Source organism: Homo sapiens, chromosome 16 (assembly GCF_000001405.40).
Source record: "Homo sapiens chromosome 16, GRCh38.p14 Primary Assembly".
In the NCBI taxonomy this organism is placed as follows: domain Eukaryota; kingdom Metazoa; phylum Chordata; class Mammalia; order Primates; family Hominidae; genus Homo; species Homo sapiens.
This window is the reverse complement of record NC_000016.10, coordinates 2,273,913-2,297,117: the sequence shown is the minus strand read 5'-3', so window position 1 is coordinate 2,297,117 and position 23,205 is coordinate 2,273,913. Positions and strand designations below refer to the sequence as shown.

At 56.9% G+C, this 23,205-nt stretch overlaps 1 protein-coding gene and 1 non-coding gene across 2 annotated transcripts in view; one reads left to right on the top strand and one right to left on the bottom strand.

The window, feature by feature from the left end:
• Nucleotides 1–21,237, top strand: part of ABCA3 (ATP binding cassette subfamily A member 3) — a 64,848-nt gene extending 43,611 nt beyond the window's left edge. Inside the window, exons 18-33 of the mRNA NM_001089.3 lie at nt 1,378–1,528; nt 4,880–4,978; nt 7,498–7,684; nt 8,789–9,092; nt 10,151–10,424; nt 11,472–11,676; nt 12,120–12,339; nt 12,681–12,839; nt 13,760–13,932; nt 15,609–15,737; nt 15,897–16,091; nt 17,988–18,175; nt 18,660–18,830; nt 19,049–19,239; nt 19,448–19,521; nt 20,313–21,237. Of these exons, the coding sequence (NP_001080.2) occupies nt 1,378–1,528; nt 4,880–4,978; nt 7,498–7,684; nt 8,789–9,092; nt 10,151–10,424; nt 11,472–11,676; nt 12,120–12,339; nt 12,681–12,839; nt 13,760–13,932; nt 15,609–15,737; nt 15,897–16,091; nt 17,988–18,175; nt 18,660–18,830; nt 19,049–19,239; nt 19,448–19,521; nt 20,313–20,444 (2,852 nt within the window). The 3' untranslated portion in view covers nt 20,445–21,237. The remainder of the gene's footprint in view (nt 1–1,377; nt 1,529–4,879; nt 4,979–7,497; nt 7,685–8,788; nt 9,093–10,150; nt 10,425–11,471; nt 11,677–12,119; nt 12,340–12,680; nt 12,840–13,759; nt 13,933–15,608; nt 15,738–15,896; nt 16,092–17,987; nt 18,176–18,659; nt 18,831–19,048; nt 19,240–19,447; nt 19,522–20,312) is intronic.
• Nucleotides 22,427–22,498, bottom strand: MIR4717 (microRNA 4717). The gene has a single exon (NR_039868.1). It is a non-coding gene; the product is annotated as a microRNA 4717 (primary transcript).

Genomic DNA, 23,205 nt, shown 5'->3' with positions numbered 1-23,205 from the left:
GGATGTGGTTCAGCCATGACCAGAAGAACAGAGGCCAAGCCTAGTGCCACTAGGAGCAGCACTGCCCTTGGAGAGGCCAACACACGCACCAACATGGCAGCTCCCACGTGAGAGCAGCTCACAGCATGGCCAGGGCCAGCAGGGGCTGACAGGATCTGGGCCCAGACCTCTGACTGTACTGTGCAACTACGGCTTCCCTTTCAAGGTCACCTCCTGGTCCAGCACGATCTGGGTGTGCCAGCGTCCCCCACATTCCAACGGGGTGGAGCAAAGACATAGGAGCCCTCCTCCCCTCAGGACACCCCCCAAGTTCACGTCCCACTTCTGCCCCCTAGTGACTGAGTGGCAACCCAGTGTGGTCAGCAGTAGGCTGGAGGGGATGGCCTTTGTCCTGGGCAGCCACATGCTCAGCCAAGATACCAGGGTTTTGTTACCAAGAGGGAGGACAGCAGGCGTTAGGAGATGAGGAACCATCCACCACGGCCTCTGAGAGTTTCACTAGCCACTTCCTGCCCCACTGCCCAGTTGGCAGAGCCATTGTTCTTCCTGGGCCTGGCATCCTTGTCTCTAAAGAGGACATGGGGCCAGGCGTGGTGGCTCACCGCCTATAATCCCAGCACTTTGGGAGGCCAAGGCAGGCAGATCACTTGAGGTCAGGAGTTCAAGACCAGCCTGGCCAACATGGTAAAACTCTGTCTCTACTAAAATACAAAAACTTAACCAGGTATGGTGGTGCATGCCTGTAATCCCAGCTACTTGGGGAGGCTGAGGCAGGAGAATAAGTACTTGAACCAAGGAGGGAGAAGTTACAGTGAGCCAAGATTGTGCAGCTGCACTCCAGCCTGGGTGACAGAGTGAGACTTGTCTCAAAAAAAAAAAAAAGGACATGGAATTCCATCTCCTGCACGGTGACGTTGGGAAAGAGGTGAGATGCATCTCTGATAGTGCCGTGCAGTGCGGTCTTGCAGCCGGTAGCTCTTGCTCCTGCTCCTGCTGACAGTCCCTTCCTAGAACCACACCATAACCATCAGTGTTAACCCCACAAGACAGAAGCCCTCACACGTGGTCCGTCGCTGCTGATGATATCCTTCCCTGGTGCTTGTATAGCTGGGGGGAGACCCCACCTTCCAGCAGGTGCCCCTGACAGTGCTCAGCACCCTAGATCCCCAGCAGCTCTTCCCAGCAGGAGCGGGAGGTGACACCCTTGGGACAGCACAGGGAGCTCCAAGACACATTCATTCTGCTTCAGCTGCCCACCTCCGGTTCTCTAGCCTCCTTCCCACCAGCTTGCCTGGTGTGAGCCCTAGAGACCCCGGGGTGGGCATGAAGAGACCTGGGGGATCAGCCAAAGATCTCACACGTGGCCCTGTATTCCAGGTGCCGGCTATCACATGACGCTGGTGAAGGAGCCGCACTGCAACCCGGAAGACATCTCCCAGCTGGTCCACCACCACGTGCCCAACGCCACGCTGGAGAGCAGCGCTGGGGCCGAGCTGTCTTTCATCCTTCCCAGAGAGAGCACGCACAGGTACGCCTCCCAGGGAGGGCACGCACAGGTATACATCCAAGATGGGATCCCCATGGGCCATGAGGGCTTTGTGCTCAGAGGCACCTGCTCTGCCCCTCTCTGGCCTGGCCAGTCGGCACTCTTAGACCCTCAGCCTGGGCACCATCAGCCCAGATGAATCTGCTTGGCTGGGTCCTAGGTGCCAGGCCTCCTAGCAAGGAGAAACATAATTAGGACCTGAAAAGGAGAAGCACGTATCTGACTCACCAAAAGGGTGCTCAGCGCTGATGCAGGGCTCACACTCCCCCTTCTGACACCAGGCTCAACACGTGCTGCGGCTGCACTCAGAACTACTCGTGAAACCGAGTCTGTATTTGTATGTGGGTGGTGAATTTGGTCTCAGTGTCAGAGCTGGAGATGTTACCACCTGCTCATCACTGTCTCACACACACGGCAGAACCAGCAAGGGGAGGGAAGCCAGTGTTCCATGACACTATCTATCAGTCTGGATATTATCTGGATAATATCAGTTTATTGCACTTTTCTCCAGTTTGTTGTTTGATTTTGTCAGATTTTTTTCCATTTTACATTTATTTATTTTATTTGTTATTTATTTATTATTTGTTTTGAGATGGAGCCTCACTCTGCTGCCCAGTCCAGAGTGCAGTGGCACAATCTCAGCTCACTGCAACCTCTGCCTCCCAGGTTCAAGCAATTCTCCTGCCTCAGCCTCCCAAGTAGCTGGGATTACAGGCGTGCACCACCACACCCGGCTAATTTTTGTATTTTTAGTAGAGATGGGGTTTTACCATGTTGTCCAGGCTGGTCTCAAACTCCTGACCTCAGGTGATCCACCCACCTCGGCCTCCCAAAGTGCTAAGATGTCAGGCATGAGCCACCATGCCTGGCCACATTTGTTTATTTTAAAAACAAGGTCTTGCTCTGTCACCCAGGCTGGAGTGCAGTGGTGCAATCACAACTCACTGCAGCCTTGAATTCCTGGGCTCGTGATCTCCCACCTCAGCCTCCCGAATAGTTGGGACTACAGGTGTGTATCAACATGTCCGGCTAGTTTTTTTATTTTTTTTGTAGAGATGGGGTCTTGTTATGTTGCCCAAGCTGGTCTTGAACTCCTGGGCTTAAGTGATCCTTCCGCCTCAGCCTCCCAAAGTTCTGGGATTCCAGGTGTGAGCCACTGCACCCGGCCTAGATTTTGTACTTAATGTAGCAACATCCTTTCTCTTGTGACTTCTTCTATTAATTTTATTCTTAGAAAGTGTTTCGCAGCTGTGCATAGTGGCGCACGCCTGTAATCCCAGCACTTTGGGAGGCCAAGGCGGGCGGACCATGAGGTCAGGAGATCGAGACCATCCTGGCCAACACGGTGAAACCTCGTCTCTACTAAAAAAAAAAAAAAATACAAAAATTAGCCGGGCGTGGTGGTGGGTGCCTGTAATCCCAGCTACTCAGGAGGCTGAGGCAGGAGAATCACTGAACCCAGGAGCAGAGGTTGCAGTGAGCCGAAATCACACCCCTGCACCCCTGCACCCCTGGATTCCAGCCTGGGTGACAGAGGGAGACTCCATCTCAAAAAAAAAAAAAGAAAGAAAAAACCAGGGAATCAAACCATATGAACCTCACTTTTAGCCAGGCATGGTTGCTCATGCCTGTAATCCCAACACTTTCAGAAGCCAAGGCAGAAGGAGAAGGAGATCAGCTTGGGCGACATAGTGAGACCCCATCTCTACAAAAAAATTAAAAATTAGCCACATGGCCAGGCACGGTGGCTCACACCTGTAATCCCAGCACTTGGAGGCCGAAGCGGGTGGATCACGAGGTCAGGAGATCGAGACCATCCTGGCTAACATGGTGAAACCCCATCTCTACTAAAAATACAAAAACAAAATTAGCCGGGCGTGGTGGCGGGCACCTGTAGTCCCAGCTACTCGGGAGGCTGAGGCAAGAGAATGGCATGAAGCCGGGAGGCAGATCTTGCAGTGAGCCAAGATCGCGCCACCGCACTCCAGCCTGGGTGACAGAGCAAGACTCAGTCTCAAAAAAAAAAAAAAAACTTAGCCACGTGTAGTTGTGCACACCTGTAGCCCCAGACACTTGGGAGGCTGAGGTGAGAGGATTGCTTGAGCCCGGGAGGTCAAGGCTTCAGTGAGCCGAGATTATACCACTGCACTCCAGCCTGAGTGACAGACCAAGACCCTGTCTCCAAAAAAAAAAAAAAAAAAAAAGGCATTTTGGCCAGGCACGGTAGCTTGGTAGCTCATTGCCTGTAATCCCAGCACTTTGGGAGGTCAGGGCAGGTGGATCACAGGGTCAGGAGATCAAGACCATCCTGGCTAACACGGTGAAACCCCATCTCTACTAAAAATACAAAAAATTAGCTGGGTGTGGTGGCGGGCGCCTATAGTCCCAGCTACTCTGGAGGTTGAGGCAGGAGAATGCCATGAACCTGGGAGGCGGAGCTTGCAGTGAGCCGAGACTGTGCCACTGCACTGCAGCCTGGGTGACAGAGCAAAACTCCATCTAAAGAAAAAAAGAAAAAAAAAGGTATTTCAAGGAATTAACCTCCTGTGGCCCCTGCCCCATTCTATAGGGGGATTAGGGGGGTGATTCATTTTAGTTTAGTTTAGTTTAGTTTTTGGAGACGGAGTCTTGCTCTGTTGCCCGGGCTGGAGTCCAGTGGTGCGATCTCAGCTCACCGCAACCTCCGCCTCCCGGGTTCAAGCAATTCTCCTGCCTCAGCCTCCCGAGTAGCTGGGATTACAGGCACAAGCCGCCATGACTGGGTAGTTTTTGTTGTTGTTGTTGTTTGTTGTTTTGTTTTGTTTTATTTATTTTAGTAGAGACAGAGTTTCACCGTGTTGCTCAGGCTGGTCTCGAACTCCTGAGTTCAGGCAATTCGCCCACCTCGGCCTCCCAAAGTGCTAGGATTACAGGTGTGAGATACTGCACCTGGCCTCCTTATTTTTTTAATTTTATTTATTTATTTATTTTTTTGAGACAGAGTTTCACTCTGCCACCCAGGCTGGAGTGCAGTAGCGCAATCTCGGTTCACTGCAGCCTCCACCTCCTGGGTTCAAGTGTTCTCCTGCCTCTGCCTTCTGAGTAGCTGGGACTACAGGCACCTGCTACCACACGTGGCTAATTTTTTATGTTTTTAATAGCGACAGGTTTCACCATGTTGACTAGACTGGTATCGAACTCCTGATCTCAGGTGATCCGCCCGCCTTGGCGTCCCAAAGTGCTGGGGTTACAGGTGTGAGGCACTGTGCCTGGCCGAGGGGGGGTGATGCTTTAGGAACAAATTATCTAGAAAGTCACTGAGAAGTGACTCATAATGCTGGGTCTGTTTTTCAGGTTTGAAGGTCTCTTTGCTAAACTGGAGAAGAAGCAGAAAGAGCTGGGCATTGCCAGCTTTGGGGCATCCATCACCACCATGGAGGAAGTCTTCCTTCGGTCAGTAAATGCGCATTTCCGTCCACCTAGGACTGGGCTCCGTGCTGCAGAGGACTTTTTTTTTTTGAGATGGAGTTTCACTCTAGTTGCCCAGGCTGGAGTGCAGTGGTGCGATCTCGGCTCACCGCAACCTCCGCCTCCTGGGTTCAAGAGATTCTCCTGCCTCAGCCTCCCGAGTAGCTGGGATTACAGGCATGTGCCACCACACCCAGCTAATTTTGTATTTTTAGTAGAGATGGGTTTTCTCCATGTTGGTCAGGCTGGTCTCAAACTCCTGACCTCAGGTGATCCGCCCACCTTGGCCTCCCAAAGTGCTGGTATTACAGGCGTGAGGCACCGTGCTCAGCCGAGGACTTCTAAAAAGTGCAGTGATAAACAGTCACCTCGGTTATGATCTCAAATGCCCACGTGAGGCTGGAGGAACAGCCTGGGGTGGGGCGGGCAGTGGCCGCCGTCAGAGCCCCAAGTGCAGATTGTGACTGTCAGCAACATTGGTGTGCGTGGGAAACGGCGGCACACGTGAGGGGCCTGCACTGCCTTGGGGTCCCTCCTAGACCCGCCACGGGTCTAGCTGGCACACGGCGTCAGAGGCGTGCCCAGCTCTTCTTGGGCTTAGATCGTCCTTGGGAGATACCTGTGTCGTTAATGAAGATGGGAACTATCTCATCCAGACCCTCAGAACTGCATGGGGGCTGGGCGTGGTGGCTCACGCCTGTCATCCCAGCACTTTGGGAGGCCGAGGCAGGCGATCACTTGAGCCAAGGAGTTTGAGACTAGCCTGGTCAACATGGTGAAATCCCATCTCTTTTTTTTTGAGACAGAGTCTCACTCTGTCTCCCAGGCTGGAGTGCAGTGGTGCAATCTCAGCTCACTGCAACCTCTGCCTCCCAGATTCAAGCGATTCTCCTGCCTCAGCCTCAGTAGCTGGGACTGCAGGCGCACGTCATTACGCCCAGCTAGTTTTTTTGTATTTTTAACAGAGATGGGGTTTTGCCATGCTGGTCTGGAACTCCTGACCTCAGGTGACCCACCTGAAGATCTGTGCTGGGATTACAGGCGTGAGCCACCACCCCCAGCCACCATCTCTACTAAAACTACAAAAATTAGCCGGGCATGGTGGCACACACCTGTAATCTCAGCTACTTGGGAGGCTGAGGCAGGAGAATCAATTGAACCTGGGAAGTGGAGGTTGCAGTGAGCTGAGATTGTGCCACTGCACTCCACCCTGGGGGACAGAGCAAAACCCTGTGTCAAAAGAAAAAGAAAAAAACGTGAGATAGGTTTTCCTCCTTAGGGAGCCCACAGCCTAGAGGAGGCGACAGAATAGGTGATCATACATGCAGGACATGGTGGTGCATGCTCTGGGGACACCTGTGCAGGGGACCATGTGTCCAGGAACAGACCCAGGGAAAAAGGCCAGGCAAGGCGGCGGAGGGAGGGAGGGACTGCCCGCTGACCTGTGTCCCACACAGGACCGAGCACTGACTGACTGATTCTGTGAATCCTGGTTGAAGGAAGGAAGGAAGCATGAACATAACAGAAAGAAACCACGGGCTGGCCTGGAGTCAGCCGGCTCTGAGGGTAGAACCCGGGTTGATCCTGCTGCGTCTCAGCAGCCACAGGGCCTCTTGTCTCTCAAGGTCTCAGGCCTCTCTGGCCCCATCTCATACTCACCACACGGCCCACCTGTGACTCAGCTCCAGGCCCCACACCTGACCCTGGCCTCTCTGAGCTCCTGGTCTCAAGAGAAAAATAATCAGAAGCTTTTCCTGGTTTGTCTAGGACCTGGGGAGAGCTAGCCAGGCTGGTAAGCGCCCACCGGAGCTCAGACCATGGGCAGGAAGGCTTTTAATCAGAGGGAATACTGACGAGATGGCAACACTTGGTGTCTCTGAGCAGATCATGAAAGATGAGTGGGACTGGGAGAATCCAGTGAGGGAGAAGGGCTCTGCCAAGGGCCAGAGGAGCAGGTACTTAGGCCTCACGGCAGCCTGCACACAGGAGCAAGAAGCAGGCAGACAGGGCTCACACGGGCTCCAAGTGTGGCCTGACAATGTTGCTAAGCCAGCCGGGGGGTGCCTCCTGCCTGCTGCAGCCTCAGTTGTGTTTCCTAATCGGCGGGGAGCTCTAGGAAGGGGTGTGTGTGTGTGTGTGTGTGTGTGTGTGTGTGTGTGTGTGATGTAATTCACATAATATTAAAAAATCACCTCCTCTGCCAGCCTTGGTGGTTCATGCCTGTAATCCCAGCACTTTGAGAGGCCAAGGTGGGTGGATCACTTGAGGTCAGGAGTTCCAGATCAGCCTGGCCAACATGGTGAAACCCTATGTCTACTAAAAATACAAAAATTAGCTGTGCATGGTGGCCGGAGACACTGATGAGTGAGGAAACACATAAGCAGATGCATGAGCAAGCCAAGGACTGCGGCAACACTGCTCCCCTCAGTGCCTCTAACCATAGTCCCTCCCTCCACCCACCCGGGGAGCTGGGTCCTGACCGGTCCCTGTGTGTATCGGCACAGGGTCGGGAAGCTGGTGGACAGCAGTATGGACATCCAGGCCATCCAGCTCCCTGCCCTGCAGTACCAGCACGAGAGGCGCGCCAGCGACTGGGCTGTGGACAGCAACCTCTGTGGGGCCATGGACCCCTCCGACGGCATTGGAGCCCTCATCGAGGAGGAGCGCACCGCTGTCAAGCTCAACACTGGGGTGAGTGCCCAGGTGGGTGGGCGGGTGGCGGGGGAAGGGCGAGCAGCCCCCAAACGCCTCATGTAAGCCCATGCAGAGGAGAGTCTGCGAGGGCGCAAACAGGGTCCGGGAGAGTCAGCACACCGGGCAGAGGGCGGGCAGCGGCTCACACCGCATGGGTCGGCAGGGAGAAGCGTTTGAATGGAGCAACTGGAATTTCTCATGCTCTACCTCAGGCACAGCACCCTGCTCAACAGGAGCTTGTCGGGTGCCCAGCTCTGTGTTGATGAGGCTCTCTAGCAGCCAACGACACGGAGGTTGGTTGATGCACTCGGTTCACAGATGGGAAACCGAGGCCTGGGCCAAAGTCAGATGTGACAGAGTCACAGAGCTCATTCTGATCCCTGGTCAGCCTGATCTCAAAGCCCTGACGCTCTCTGTCTCGGAGGACCAGGAAGGAAAGAAGCTGGAGAACGAGGCAGTCAGGCTGGTTGGGAGGCTCGGCCATCTGTTTCCTGTGACCTGTGTGGTGGTGTCTCCTTGTGGCAGGGGGAGGGCAGGGGATGGCAGCTGGTCCTCTACTGTCCTGAGACAATGAAACAGTGTCTGGGCCGGGTGTGGTGGCTCATGCCTGTAATCCCAGTACATTGGGAGGCCAAGGCGGGCAGATCACTTGAGGTCAGGAGTTCAAGACCAGCCTAGGCCAACATGACAAAACCCTATCTCTACTAAAAATACAAAAATTAGTTGGGTGTGGTGGTGTGCGCCTGTAATCCCAGCTACTTGGGAGGCTGAGGTAGGAACCCAGGAGGTGGAGGTTGCAGTGAGCTGAGATCACACCACTGCACTCCACCCCCAGTGACAGAGTGACCCTGTCTCAAAAAAATAAAATAGTGCCAACGTGCAGGGCCCCATGGAGACCTGCAGAGTCTGCACAGGTGACCCTGCCATGTGGTGCACTGAGCTCCTCCCACGGCCGTTTCAACGCTCTGGGAGTCTCCGGTGCAACCTCAGCTGCAGGCCCCCAGGCTGGCGTCACACAGAACAGCACCTGCCGCAGGTGGGTGGGGGTCAGGCGCTGGGCCCCAAGCGGTGCCGGTGTCACCTGCGTCCCCTCTGCCGCAGCTCGCCCTGCACTGCCAGCAATTCTGGGCCATGTTCCTGAAGAAGGCCGCATACAGCTGGCGCGAGTGGAAAATGGTGGCGGCACAGGTCCTGGTGCCTCTGACCTGCGTCACCCTGGCCCTCCTGGCCATCAACTACTCCTCGGAGCTCTTCGACGACCCCATGCTGAGGCTGACCTTGGGCGAGTACGGCAGAACCGTCGTGCCCTTCTCAGTTCCCGGGACCTCCCAGCTGGGTCAGCAGCTGTCAGAGCATCTGAAAGACGCACTGCAGGCTGAGGGACAGGAGCCCCGCGAGGTGCTCGGTAAGGGGCATCCCGGGGGCGGGACGGGGGCATCGGGGGCCAGTCCTGCAGCCAGAGTTCGCCTTCCTGACTGCAGCAGGGTCGACATCTGGGGAGGATGGTTCTTGGCTGTTCCGAATGTACTGAGGGAGGTTCAGCAGCATCCCTGACCTTGCCCCACCCCATCATGACCATCAAACATGCCTGGAAACATTGCGGATGTCCCCTGGGTGGCAGATCACGGCACTGAGTCAGGGGAAGTGCCCTGGAGGTGCCAGAGACACTGGCATCCTGGGGCCAGGCTTTGTCAGGCGTCTTTTTACTGAAGCTGTGTCTTTCAGGATCATTCATGGGCAAAATGCAGAAGCATAGTGACTTCAAGTTACCTTTGCTTTGTGATGATGCTGGCCACAGTGTGCCTTCGTGTGACAGGGTGTTTTCTTTCAACATCTTAAAACTCACAGTTCTTGGCCAGGCACAGTAGCTCACACCTGTCATCCCACTACTTTGGGAGGCCGAGGCAGGTGGATCACTTGAGGTCAGGAGTTCGAGACCAGCCTGGTCAACATGGCAAAACTCTGTCTCTACTAAACACAAAAATTAGCTAGGTGTGGTGATGGGTACCTGTAATCCCAGCTACTCTGGAGGCTGAGGCAGGAGAATGGCTTGAACCTGGGCGGTGGAGGCTGCAGTGAGCCAAGATCGCACCATTGCACTCCAGCCTGGGTGACAGAGCAAGACTGTCTCAAAAAAAAAAAGAAAGAGTCTTGGTAGTCATAGTTGGATACTGCCCCAGGCTCAGAACAGGGACCGTGCTCTGGTTAATGGAACCTACTGGAAGGTTTTCTTATTTTGCAGCTCCTTTCCCGGTTCCTGACTGGCATTCAAAGTTCCACATACTGAATGATGACAAAACCTTGCCAGAAATTATACTCTCCTTAGGAGAAGGGTGATGGGGCGGGCAGCTCAGAGGATGCTGGCACCACTCTATTGGGTCCCTGATTAGCCATGCTCAGGTGGCAGGGGGTGCCCAGGTGTCACCTCTTCCTGTGTCCCCTGACTCTGCCATTGCTCCCCAGGTGACCTGGAGGAGTTCTTGATCTTCAGGGCTTCTGTGGAGGGGGGCGGCTTTAATGAGCGGTGCCTTGTGGCAGCGTCCTTCAGAGATGTGGGAGAGCGCACGGTCGTCAACGCCTTGTTCAACAACCAGGCGTACCACTCTCCAGCCACTGCCCTGGCCGTCGTGGACAACCTTCTGTTCAAGCTGCTGTGCGGGCCTCACGCCTCCATTGTGGTCTCCAACTTCCCCCAGCCCCGGAGCGCCCTGCAGGCTGCCAAGGACCAGTTTAACGAGTATGTGCACTGCCCGTCCCTGTCTGCCCTGGCCAGAGCCCCCAGGACTGACTGCCCTGGGCACTGCCACGGGCCCATAGATAGAGCATTGTGTCTGCCCTCCCAAAGCCCCTGGGTCTGGTGGGAAACCCCTGCCACATCCTCCTCCACCATCCACAGCCCCAACTCCCTGTGACAGCAGATCAGCTGTGGGCCATCCCATGCACTGCGGTCCTCACGGGGACCCATGAAGGCTCGGCAGGCAGCCCTGCCTTCTCCTCCTAAATCTACCTGGCTCCTGTCAGCCACTGTCCTCGCTCCACACTGCTCTCTCCAGCAGTGTGACCTGCTGGGCACATGAGCTGAGGTGATGGAGGGTGAGCAGAGCAGGACTTGGCAAGAACTGCCGTCCCTGTTCCTCAGATGGCCGCACGTCGGGAGCCTGCCATGCCATTGTGTGGGCAGGGCTACCCCCTATGCCGGCCACAGAGCCCCCAGAGCTCCTGGAACCACCCAGAGGAGGCCAAAAATTCTGTTAATTTCAGAATAGCCACTCCTCCTCAGGGCAGTGTCGTCTCCACCCACATTCCAGGCTAGGCCTAGGCCTGGCGATGGCTGCGTCCCAGCTTCTGGCTCCATCCCTGCCCCAAGAGCAGAAAAGCAACAGCCCTCGATCTGCTCTCCTTGCCATCAACTCAGGATCCTAGAATGACACACAGAGGCCAGGAGAGGCTTTCCCTTTGCCACACTCCAGGAGGAGGTGGGGCTCGGGACCTCCACACCTGGGCAAGGTCGCCGGCAGCCGTGGGGCTGAGGGCTGGGAGCGGGGTGATGAGGGAGAGTGACGCTGCCATTGTCACATGGTCAGCATAGGAATTCCAGAGGAACCGTTCTCCGGTGGGGGCAGATGTTCCCGGTATGGAACCATGGTGCTTGTGCTCTCCCATAAGCCCCTTTAGTGGTTGGGCTGCTGCCCTGCATGCCTTGGGCGGTCATAACCGAGAACCCGACCTCTCCTGCCACCCAGACGTGCTGTGCTCCGTCCCTGACCTTCTCTGTCCCCCGCAGGGGCCGGAAGGGATTCGACATTGCCCTCAACCTGCTCTTCGCCATGGCATTCTTGGCCAGCACGTTCTCCATCCTGGCGGTCAGCGAGAGGGCCGTGCAGGCCAAGCATGTGCAGTTTGTGAGTGGAGTCCACGTGGCCAGTTTCTGGCTCTCTGCTCTGCTGTGGGACCTCATCTCCTTCCTCATCCCCAGTCTGCTGCTGCTGGTGAGCGCCGGAGGGTGCTGGATCCGTTCCCCTGCAGACCGCAGAGGGCTTGCCCTGGGACCCCTGTGCAGAACCGGAACCAGCTGGGCAGCCCCTAGGCCGGCAGCTCGGCCCGACTCAGGGAGGACAGCTGGAATCCCCTGGCGGCTGCCCCCTCGCCTCCTCCCTGCACCCTCAGCCTTTACCCTCCATGCATGGGCAGCACCCGGAGCAGCCATCCTGGTTACAGCTCCGGGTGCAAGGGGACGAGGGGAAACTGGGACAGAGAGGGTCCTGGGGCTGAAAGCCACCGCGGGGGCCAGACGTGGCCTGTGGGGCTGATGGACATGGGCCAGCTGACCGGGAGGGGTCTGAGGACCTCCAAATGCTCCTCTCACCCCTTCCCTACCCGTGAGCTCCTCTCAGCTTGGCATGCACAGCAGCGCCTCCCTGTGCCGCCGCAGGTGGTGTTTAAGGCCTTCGACGTGCGTGCCTTCACGCGGGACGGCCACATGGCTGACACCCTGCTGCTGCTCCTGCTCTACGGCTGGGCCATCATCCCCCTCATGTACCTGATGAACTTCTTCTTCTTGGGGGCGGCCACTGCCTACACGAGGCTGACCATCTTCAACATCCTGTCAGGCATCGCCACCTTCCTGATGGTCACCATCATGCGCATCCCAGGTGGGCACCTGGAGACCACCCGCAGCCCCCATGGCCATCCACGGAGCCACTCCGCCCAGACAGGGAGGCACCAGCCACAGCCGAGGCGGGACTCAGGCAATGGGCCCAGTTCATGCTCACCAGCCCCTCTGCCCCAGCTGGCCCTGCCCGGCTAGCCATGACTGGTGGGCAGGCGTCTGCGGCGTCCTTGCCCTGTGCAGAGCCGGCAGGGGCGTCCCTGGGAGGTGCCCCCTCACTCCACACAGCACGGATAAGGCCCTGTGCCCGCCCTGACCAGGCCCGTCCTGGAGGTGGGTGTGGTGTGCCCTCCAGCGCAGACTGATCTTACCTCCCCAACGCAGCTGTAAAACTGGAAGAACTTTCCAAAACCCTGGATCACGTGTTCCTGGTGCTGCCCAACCACTGTCTGGGGATGGCAGTCAGCAGTTTCTACGAGAACTACGAGACGCGGAGGTACTGCACCTCCTCCGAGGTCGCCGCCCACTACTGCAAGAAATATAGTGAGTGTCCCAGCCCCGACCCCGGGCAGCACCCCTGCGTCCTCAGGACGTGGTCACTGCAGAGGGGCCTCCTAGGGCAGGGGCTCCTCTGCGTCTGAGTGGCCTGGGGCTGGTGCGTTCCTCTGTACCGCCTTGCCCCACCTCCCACAGCAGCCCCCTCGCGCCCGCTCGCTCCCAGGCCCTGTACCTGAGCTCCCACTCTCCCACCTGCCTCAGTGTCTGGGCATCTGTAACAAGGAACCACAGACCAGCGCTTAGCACGAGGAGTGAATCCCCCATGGCTCAGGGGAGGACCCTTCCTGCTTCTCCCATCTCCTGGAGGCTCCAGGCATCCTGAGCTCCTGGCTGCACCTACTCCCCACCACCGCCTCCATCCTCGCATGGCAGCTCCTGTCTCCTGTCTCAAATCTCCTTCTGCATTTCTCTTATAAGGACACTTGCTGTTGGGTTTAAGGCCCACACTAATCCAGTGTCTCACCTTAAGATCCTTACTAATCACATATTCAAAGACCCTGTTTCTAAGCAAGATCACAACCCCAGGTCCAGGGGGACAGAACTTGGACCTGTCCTGTGGGGCCTCCTCAGCCTCCCACACACCCCTCGGTGCTTGTAACGGTCTCTGTCCTGGTCAGGAGGCAGCCCAGGATTCACGCAGAGCCTGTGCCTCTCAGGCGGGCTGTTGCTGCCCTGGGTCTGCCATGTCGCTCATGGGACTGCATTGGATTGTTACGTGCCTGGCCCCTCTCTGAGCTGTGGTGCCTCGAGAGGCAGCTGTGACCTACTGGCCTTCACATCTCCCCATGGAGGGGACATTGTTACAGGCGCCTTGAGCAGCCTGGGGAGGGGAGTGGGGGCCGGGAACCTGGAAGGGGAGGAGGGTGCCCCAGGCCTCGGGGCACAGTGACTCCCTCGCCCCACAGACATCCAGTACCAGGAGAACTTCTATGCCTGGAGCGCCCCGGGGGTCGGCCGGTTTGTGGCCTCCATGGCCGCCTCAGGGTGCGCCTACCTCATCCTGCTCTTCCTCATCGAGACCAACCTGCTTCAGAGACTCAGGGGCATCCTCTGCGCCCTCCGGAGGAGGCGGACACTGGTGAGTGGCTCCGGGAGCCCAGGACACTGGCGAGATGCTCCCCACGTCTCTGCTTGGGCCCAGCACAACCTGGGGCAGCTCCACCTCCTTCTCCACCAGGCAGCTCCTGCACCAGATGGTCTCCCACTGTACGGCCTCAGCACCAGCCGGCACTTACAGCCAGGGCGGGGCACAGCCCTCGCCACTCACAAGGGCTGTCGAGTTGTGAGCCCCTGCCGAGGAGTCAGCCTGGGGGCCCAGGGCCGTCCTGCTGAGGAGAGGTGGTGCCCAGGGACACCCAGTGCCTGGAGGAGGGGATGTGGGGCTGAGGGGTGCCCAGTCCTGCTGAGCAGAGGTGGTGCCCAGGGACACCCAGTGCCCGGAGGAGGGGATGTGGGGCTGAGGGTTGCCCAGTCCTGCTGAGCAGAGGTGGTGCCCAGGGACACCCAGTGCCCGGAGGAGGGGATGTGGGGCTGAGGGGTGCCCAGTCCTGCTGAGCAGAGGTGGTGCCCAGGGACACCCAGTGCCCGGAGGAGGGGATGTGGGGCTGAGGGGTGCCCAGTCCTGCTGAGCAGAGGTGGTGCCCAGGGACACCCAGTGCCCGGAGGAGGGGATGTGGGGCTGAGGGGTGCTCCACGTGTTTATTGAAAACGTTCATTTTCTCAGGTCTCCATCCCCTCCCTCAAACAAACAAAAGCAAATGTGTTGACATTGCATTGCACATACAGCTTAGCCGAGGGGGAATTCACTTCTTTAAAATAGTCAGACTTCTCTAAAAAGGGAACTGTCTCCACGTGTTAAAATCTTTGGCCAGGCATGGTGGCTCACACCTGTAATCCCAGCACTTTAGAAAGCAGAGGTAGGTGGATCACCTGAAGCCAGGAGTTCAAGACTAGTCTGGGCAACATAGTGAGACCCTATCTCTTCTAAACAGTTTTAAAAATTAGCTAGGCATGATGGCACACACCTGTAATCCTAGCTACTAGGGAAGCTGAGACAGGAGGCTTAAGCCTGGGAGGTCCGGGCTGCAGTGACCTATGATTACACCATTGCATCCCAGCCTGGGTGACAGAGCAAGACCCCATCTCTAAATCTGAAAACAAAAATCTTACTTTCAGGCCAGCCATGGTGGCTAATGCCTGTAATCCCAACACTTTGGGAGGCCAAGGTGGACGGATCACCAAAGGTCAGGAGTTCTAGACCAGCCTGGCCAACACAGTGAAACTCCGTCTCTACTAAAAATACAAAAATTAGCTGGGCGTGGTGGCGCGCTACTCGGGAGGCTGAAGCAGGAGAATCAGTTGAACCTGGGAGGCAGAGTTTGCAGTGAGCTGAGATTGCGCCACTGCACTCCAGCCTGGACAACAGAGTGAGACTCTGTCTCAAAAAAAAAAAAAAAATTGTCTAAAAATCTTATTTTATATTCCCCAGCAGATTTATGATTTTTCTCCATGAGTCCCGCACAGTTCTTTTTCCTCAGATAGTTTATGTCTCCTGGATGCTAGTTTAGCCCCGTAAGACCACTGTGTCTTCTAGTAAAAGGTCTGAGTCGCACCTGTGGGGCCTGAGATTGGGACGAGAAGCCTTGAAGGCCTTAGTCCCACCAGACCTCCCACATCCACCCCCGCCCCTCCCTTCTCCACGGAAGCCGCCCTGCGGCTGGGTTCACGCATGCGGTCTTTGTCCTGGTCAATCAGACAGAATTATACACCCGGATGCCTGTGCTTCCTGAGGACCAAGATGTAGCGGACGAGAGGACCCGCATCCTGGCCCCCAGTCCGGACTCCCTGCTCCACACACCTCTGATTATCAAGGAGCTCTCCAAGGTACCCTTGCAATTTGGGGTGGAGTCCTTCCTGCCAGCTGACTACCTGGCTGTCCCCAGGGTCCGACCCCATCCCTGGAAGCTTTCGGCGCTGAGGCTCAGACTGCTCTGCTTTGCGTCCAGGCCTCCGCATTCCGTGTTTTCTGTTGGGTGCCTGCAGGTGTACGAGCAGCGGGTGCCCCTCCTGGCCGTGGACAGGCTCTCCCTCGCGGTGCAGAAAGGGGAGTGCTTCGGCCTGCTGGGCTTCAATGGAGCCGGGAAGACCACGACTTTCAAAATGCTGACCGGGGAGGAGAGCCTCACTTCTGGGGATGCCTTTGTCGGGGGTCACAGAATCAGCTCTGATGTCGGAAAGGTGGGTGCAGCCAGGGAGGCTCTGAAGGGGTGAGACAGGCATGGCTGGAGGGGGCACCCTGGAGGCAGGGACAGAGGGATGCTGTCCCCAAACAGCTGCTGCATCTGTGGCTTGAAATGGGCCCAGCACATGCCTCTGGACAGCGAGACAAGGTAATGAGCTAAAGCTAAGCTTCGCCAGAACTAGCAGGTGATGGGAGGGGAGAGAGATGGGTGCCAACATCCGTGAGCCCAGAGAGGCGCATTCAGCACTGACAGCCACCTCTGTGCAGAGGCCATTCTGTGTCCAGGCAGCTCAGGTGTGGGGTTAGAGGCCTTGCTGAGTGAAGGGATGGAAGGCCCTGGGCCCGCCCAGCTTTCCCATGTTGAGCTGAGCCCCACCAGCTCCCCCGCAGAAGGACCAGAGGCAGCCCTCCTGCACCTCTGCCCGGGGCCTGCATGGGAATTCAAGTGTGCCAAGCAGAGCAGGGGAAATGGTAAGCAGGGCCTGGGGCTGAGAAGTGGCCGCGGAGTCCTCTCCTGAGCTCACACCAGGGGTGCCTGGACAGCAGAGGCCCTGGGCCAGAGCACATGCAGGCCCTCTCGGGAGGAAAGCCTCATCCTAGGCTGCAGACTCCCCCATAGAGGGTTCCAGGGCTTACAGGCAATGCACAGCAAACAAACAGAGGAGATGGTACCATGGCTGGAAGCAATAGACACAGGCCCCATGGGGGGACAAGCACATAGGCGTTAGATCTGCATCATCAGGCCAGATTATAAAAGATTATAAACTCACTGTGTCTACAGAAATAAATTATGCAATTGAAAATCTATGCAGGGGAGAGAAAACCGTATGTGATCTAGCAATGGAGGAGAGGGTGAGAAGTCCCCAGTACATGTAATCTGAGTTCCAGAAGGAAGAGAGAGAGAGAGTGGCAGGGGGTAGTAGCCAAAAAGGTAGTGGCTAAGACTTTCCCCAAACTGATTAAAAACAGATTCTGGGCTGGGAGCGTGGCTCACGCCTATAATCCCAGCTTTGGAAGGCCAAGGCAGGCAGATCACTTGAGGTCTAGAGTTCGAGACCAGCCTGGCCAACATGGCAAAATGCTGTCTCTACCAAAGAAAAATACAAAAATTAGCAGGGCATGGTGGCAGGTGCCTATAATCCTAGCTACTCGGGAGCCTGAGGCATGAGAATCACTTGAGCCTGGGAGGCAGAGGTTGTAGTGAGCCGAGATCATGCCACTGCGCTCTACCAGTGTAAGGGAGACAGAGTAAGACTCTGTCTCAAAAAAAAAAAAAAAAATTCTGGAAGCTTGAGAACCCCAAAGAAGGAAGGTAAAGAAAAAGAAATCCAGTCTCTGGAATCCACAGAACCCAGGCACTCCTGCCCCCGACCAGCTGCTGAAGGTAGCTAAGCAGATGGCAGCAGGCACGTCTTAATTCAGCTGGACGTGGTCACTTGTGCAGAGAACAGCTGCTGCACCATCTGACCAAGCAGTACTCACCCCAAACGTGGTGCCCACAAATCTTTCTTCTTAGAGGGAGAAGAAAGAGTCCTAGCACATCAGATGTCCCAGGTGTGAATGAGTGGGTAGCCAGCTCTGAGTCTGCTTCTACGTAAAGGCCATTCTTGCACCACCTAACCCCATGGCTGCCTGTCCTGGACCAGGCTCTGAGAGCAGCTCTGGAAGCCTCCCTGCACCAGGCACATCCTTCCTGTGTCCCTGTTCCAAGAGCTTCCACTGTGGGCAGCCACCACGGCCTGTGCATAGCTCCAGCGCCCCCGTGTACACACACTGGCAGGAACCACAGACAGGCGCAGTGGTGGGCACCTCAAGGGTAGTCCCCGTGGTCCTCTGGAGGAAGGAGGCTTCCCTCCAACCCGCCTCCCTCCCCGGCTATGCTCCGACCCCAGGTGCGGCAGCGGATCGGCTACTGCCCGCAGTTTGATGCCTTGCTGGACCACATGACAGGCCGGGAGATGCTGGTCATGTACGCTCGGCTCCGGGGCATCCCTGAGCGCCACATCGGGGCCTGCGTGGAGAACACTCTGCGGGGCCTGCTGCTGGAGCCACATGCCAACAAGCTGGTCAGGACGTACAGGTGCACCTCCCGAGCCCTGGCCCTTCCCAGAGTGGAGTCAGAATCAAGGTCCCCATAGCATAGAGCTGGGAGTGACCGCTCAGGTCAGCAGCCAGAGCTCCTGCTTGTGGCTCCAGGATGGAGCTGGGATGTGGTGGTGTGACCCAGGTAGCTCCACGTAGGAAAGGGACTGCCCTGACAGTGCCTGCCACCTAGGGACAAAGCCAGCAGTGAGAGATGTCAGGGTCGGCAGGTCCCCTTTAGGTGCAGGCAGATGTCTTCCCATGTAGGTGCGTGCACCGGGCCCCTGGGAACAGCCTTCTCTGGGGCCTCCAGCCCTATGCGGTGGGCTTTCCAGGTGCACACACAGCTCCTTCCTCTTCACTAGGGCTGTTCTGCAATTGCTGGGTGTGGGCCGCTGCTGGGACACGGGCCTCCACTGGGACATGGGAGCCAATGCTAACTCTCAGCCTTATTCCCCCACCTGGCACCCTCCTGCCTCTAGTGGTGGTAACAAGCGGAAGCTGAGCACCGGCATCGCCCTGATCGGAGAGCCTGCTGTCATCTTCCTGGACGAGCCGTCCACTGGCATGGACCCCGTGGCCCGGCGCCTGCTTTGGGACACCGTGGCACGAGCCCGAGAGTCTGGCAAGGCCATCATCATCACCTCCCACAGGTAGAGCCTGGGTCTGTGGGTTACTGGAAGTTTCAGCACCGGGTGGGCCATGGAGGAGCCAGGTGGCCAGGAGACCCATCAGCATCTGGTGCAGAGTCTGCCCGTGAGCCACACTGAGCATGGGTATCAGGAACAGCCTGATCGGAGAGCCAATGCCTTCCTGTCTGCACAAGCCTTTGGCACCCCAAGCCCTATCTGAGGTCCCGCCCTCTCCACAGCATGGAGGAGTGTGAGGCCCTGTGCACCCGGCTGGCCATCATGGTGCAGGGGCAGTTCAAGTGCCTGGGCAGCCCCCAGCACCTCAAGAGCAAGTTCGGCAGCGGCTACTCCCTGCGGGCCAAGGTGCAGAGTGAAGGGCAACAGGAGGCGCTGGAGGAGTTCAAGGCCTTCGTGGACCTGACCTTTCCAGGTGTGTGCCGGCCCCGGCAGCCCCCACTGGGTGGGCCCTGGGCCCCTACCTAGGCCTCTCCCATCTGCTGTGCGGAGCGTCTGTGCCTCGCCCCGCCAAGTCCCATCTCCCCAATCCCTGGGACGAGGACTCCAGTGCTGAGCACCCAGGCACCCTCCCCGATCCTCCAGCCCGGCGCTCACAGCAACACCGTCTCTCCTTTGTGCAGGCAGCGTCCTGGAAGATGAGCACCAAGGCATGGTCCATTACCACCTGCCGGGCCGTGACCTCAGCTGGGCGAAGGTGAGGCAGTCCCTGGGGCCCCACTGGGCACTCATGGGGCAGGGGGAGGTCCCTCCAGGGGTCTCTCCCTCTGTGGTGACTGCAGGCTCTTTCCACAGAGGAGTCACTTTCCATTTCTCCCCTAACACTCAGCCTGATACGTGCTGGTTTGGGGGTTTTATATCCAAAATTATCAGTGGTAAAAGGAATTCAGTGTAAAACAGGAAAGGGGTCAGGGATGGTGGCTCACACCATAATCCCAGCACTTTGGGAGGCCGAGGAGGGAGGATTGCTTAAGCCTGGGAGTTCTAGACCAGCCTGGGCAACATAGACCCCGTCTCTACAAAAAATTTAAAAATTAGCCAGGTATCATGCATACCTGTAGTCCCAGCCACTCGGGAGGCTAAGGTGGGAGGATCGCTTGAGCCTGGGAGTTCGAGACTGCAGTGAGCTATGATTGTGCCACTGCACTCCAGCCTGGGCTACAGAGCAAGACTCTCTCTAAAAAAATATGGGGGAAAAAAAGAACTGGCTCAGAAAGGGAACATCACTGGCTCAAGGTTGTAATCTGAGCTGGGAACAGCACAGGGAGGAGGCTGGGCCCCATCCCCGCTGGCTCCTGCTTAGCCAGCGTCCTCTACCTGGGAGCACGGTGCCGTCGCAGGGCTGACCTCTCTGGGGCTCTGGGGTGGCGCTGGGCAGGGGTAGGATTGTGGGGGCCTCATCAGCCCCTATTGCCAGAGGACTCCCAGGTCCCGCAGAGGAGCCTGGGCCCTGTTCTCTCCTACCAGTGACTTTTCTGCTCCCCAAAGGTTTTCGGTATTCTGGAGAAAGCCAAGGAAAAGTACGGCGTGGACGACTACTCCGTGAGCCAGATCTCGCTGGAACAGGTCTTCCTGAGCTTCGCCCACCTGCAGCCGCCCACCGCAGAGGAGGGGCGATGAGGGGTGGCGGCTGTCTCGCCATCAGGCAGGGACAGGACGGGCAAGCAGGGCCCATCTTACATCCTCTCTCTCCAAGTTTATCTCATCCTTTATTTTTAATCACTTTTTTCTATGATGGATATGAAAAATTCAAGGCAGTATGCACAGAATGGACGAGTGCAGCCCAGCCCTCATGCCCAGGATCAGCATGCGCATCTCCATGTCTGCATACTCTGGAGTTCACTTTCCCAGAGCTGGGGCAGGCCGGGCAGTCTGCGGGCAAGCTCCGGGGTCTCTGGGTGGAGAGCTGACCCAGGAAGGGCTGCAGCTGAGCTGGGGGTTGAATTTCTCCAGGCACTCCCTGGAGAGAGGACCCAGTGACTTGTCCAAGTTTACACACGACACTAATCTCCCCTGGGGAGGAAGCGGGAAGCCAGCCAGGTTGAACTGTAGCGAGGCCCCCAGGCCGCCAGGAATGGACCATGCAGATCACTGTCAGTGGAGGGAAGCTGCTGACTGTGATTAGGTGCTGGGGTCTTAGCGTCCAGCGCAGCCCGGGGGCATCCTGGAGGCTCTGCTCCTTAGGGCATGGTAGTCACCGCGAAGCCGGGCACCGTCCCACAGCATCTCCTAGAAGCAGCCGGCACAGGAGGGAAGGTGGCCAGGCTCGAAGCAGTCTCTGTTTCCAGCACTGCACCCTCAGGAAGTCGCCCGCCCCAGGACACGCAGGGACCACCCTAAGGGCTGGGTGGCTGTCTCAAGGACACATTGAATACGTTGTGACCATCCAGAAAATAAATGCTGAGGGGACACAGTCACAGTCTGTGGGTCACACGCGCGAGCGGTCACAGGGCTCAATCACTCGCCCACAATCTAGACATGAGGCTCTCCTTTCACATTTCAATCACACAAACGTGGGACGTTGCTTTTCCCAGAAGGGAGCACACGCAGAGAATACACTGAGGTGAAGGAACAGGCCCATAACACAAAGGAAAAAGCCGGCTAGATCAACGCCCGGTGACAGGCTCTTAGTCTAAAGACAAGAGCAGGTGGGGCTGTGTGGGAAGCACAGGTCTGGTGGGAGAGAAGCTGCTGGCATCAGGGTCACCCGTGGGCATTTGCCATTTCCCAGAAATAACTCCTCATCAGCTCCCTTTTTAGTTATTTATGGAGTCTTGCTTTGTTGCCCAGGCTGGAGTGCAGTGGCGCAATCTTGGCTCACTGCAACTTCTGCCTCCCGGGTTCAAGCCATTCTCCTGCCTCTGCCTCCCGAGTAGCTGGGACAACAGGCACGCGCCACCACACCCAGCTAATTTTTGTGTTTTTAGTAGAGACGGGGTTTCACCATCTTGGTCAGCCTGGTCTCGAACTCCTGACCTGAAGTGATCCACCCACCTCAGACTCCCAAAGTACTGGGATTACAGCCATAAGCCACCGTGCCTGGCCCCTTTTTATGCACTGTTTTGTGTTTTGTCTTTTGGAGACAGGATCTTGCTCTGCTGCCCAGCGTGGAGTGCAGTGGTGGTATCACAGCTCACTGCAGCCTCAAACACCTGGGCTCATGCAATCCTCCCACCCCAGCCTCCGGAGTGGCTGGGACTAAGGGCATGCGCCACCATGCATGGCTAAATTTTATTTTTAGTATAGACGAGGTCTCATGTTGGCCAGGCTGCTGCCAAACCCCTGACCTCAAGTGATCCACCTGCCTTGGCCTCCCAAAGTGCTGGGATCACAGGCGTGAGCCACCATGCCCGGCGAATGCACTATTATTTCTTATGGTTTTCTAAACCCGATTTGAACTTCTGCATTTTACATTCCCTTAGAATTCAGAGTTTTAGAAAAGACTTGTTTTCATCACTTTGGCTCATTTGGGACAATTTCAAGTCTGTGTTTTTATCAGTCTCTGGAAATTTATGAAAGCTGCAAATCGTCTCCAGTAGCTCTTTTATTCCCTTTAAACTTCTGCCATCTAGTTCCATGTTATAAAAAATATAACGTGTTTGGGCAGTGTTTAGGCCACAGCCACCCATGTGTAGCCACCCCTACACATGGGTGGCTGTGGCCTAAACACTGCCCACGAGAAAAGTTCTGAAGTGGGCCCTTCTGGCCCCACAGCCTGTCCGCAGGGGCTGTGGCCTCTAGGTCGGGCCTGGGGCTAGGAAGAGGGAAAGGTCAGTGCACGAGGCCACCCAGCTCCATGTCCATGCCCATGGCCCTTCTGCAGGGCATCCTCAGACTTGTTTTCAAGCCCATGTGTTAGAGATTTAGGAATGTGTCATTTTTCTCCTGTGACACCCTAAAAGAGGGTTGGGGAGAGCGTATAGGACTGAGGGCACAGCCCGCATGAGGCACACACGTGTGAGGCCAGCGTACACAGGACACGCACAGGAGATACCATCCTTCCCGGTAGCACGCTGCCAGCACCAGCAGGGGTCTTTAAGTAAGGACTGGCACAAGTAGAATGCCTTCTTAGGAAAATGATCCGCAGCTCAGGAGGCTGCTGCGTGGGGACCGGGAGGGGCAGGTGCATTCAGGGCGTCTGTGGCAGGGGCCCAGGGCTGCACCCAAGCCTGGAGCTTAGATGACCCCAGGAGCAGCAGGAAGGGCCCATCTGGCATCCCAGGGAAATCCTCAAGGCCTCTGGAAACTCAGTGCTGGAGCTGGGTCACCAGGGGTGCCCTAAGGAGCCTGGGACTGAAGCCTCAGGACCCTGCCCTGGCCGATTTTTGTCTGAGCTGTGGCAGTTCCCAGCCCACGGGAGGGCAGGGGAAAAGAGCCTTGG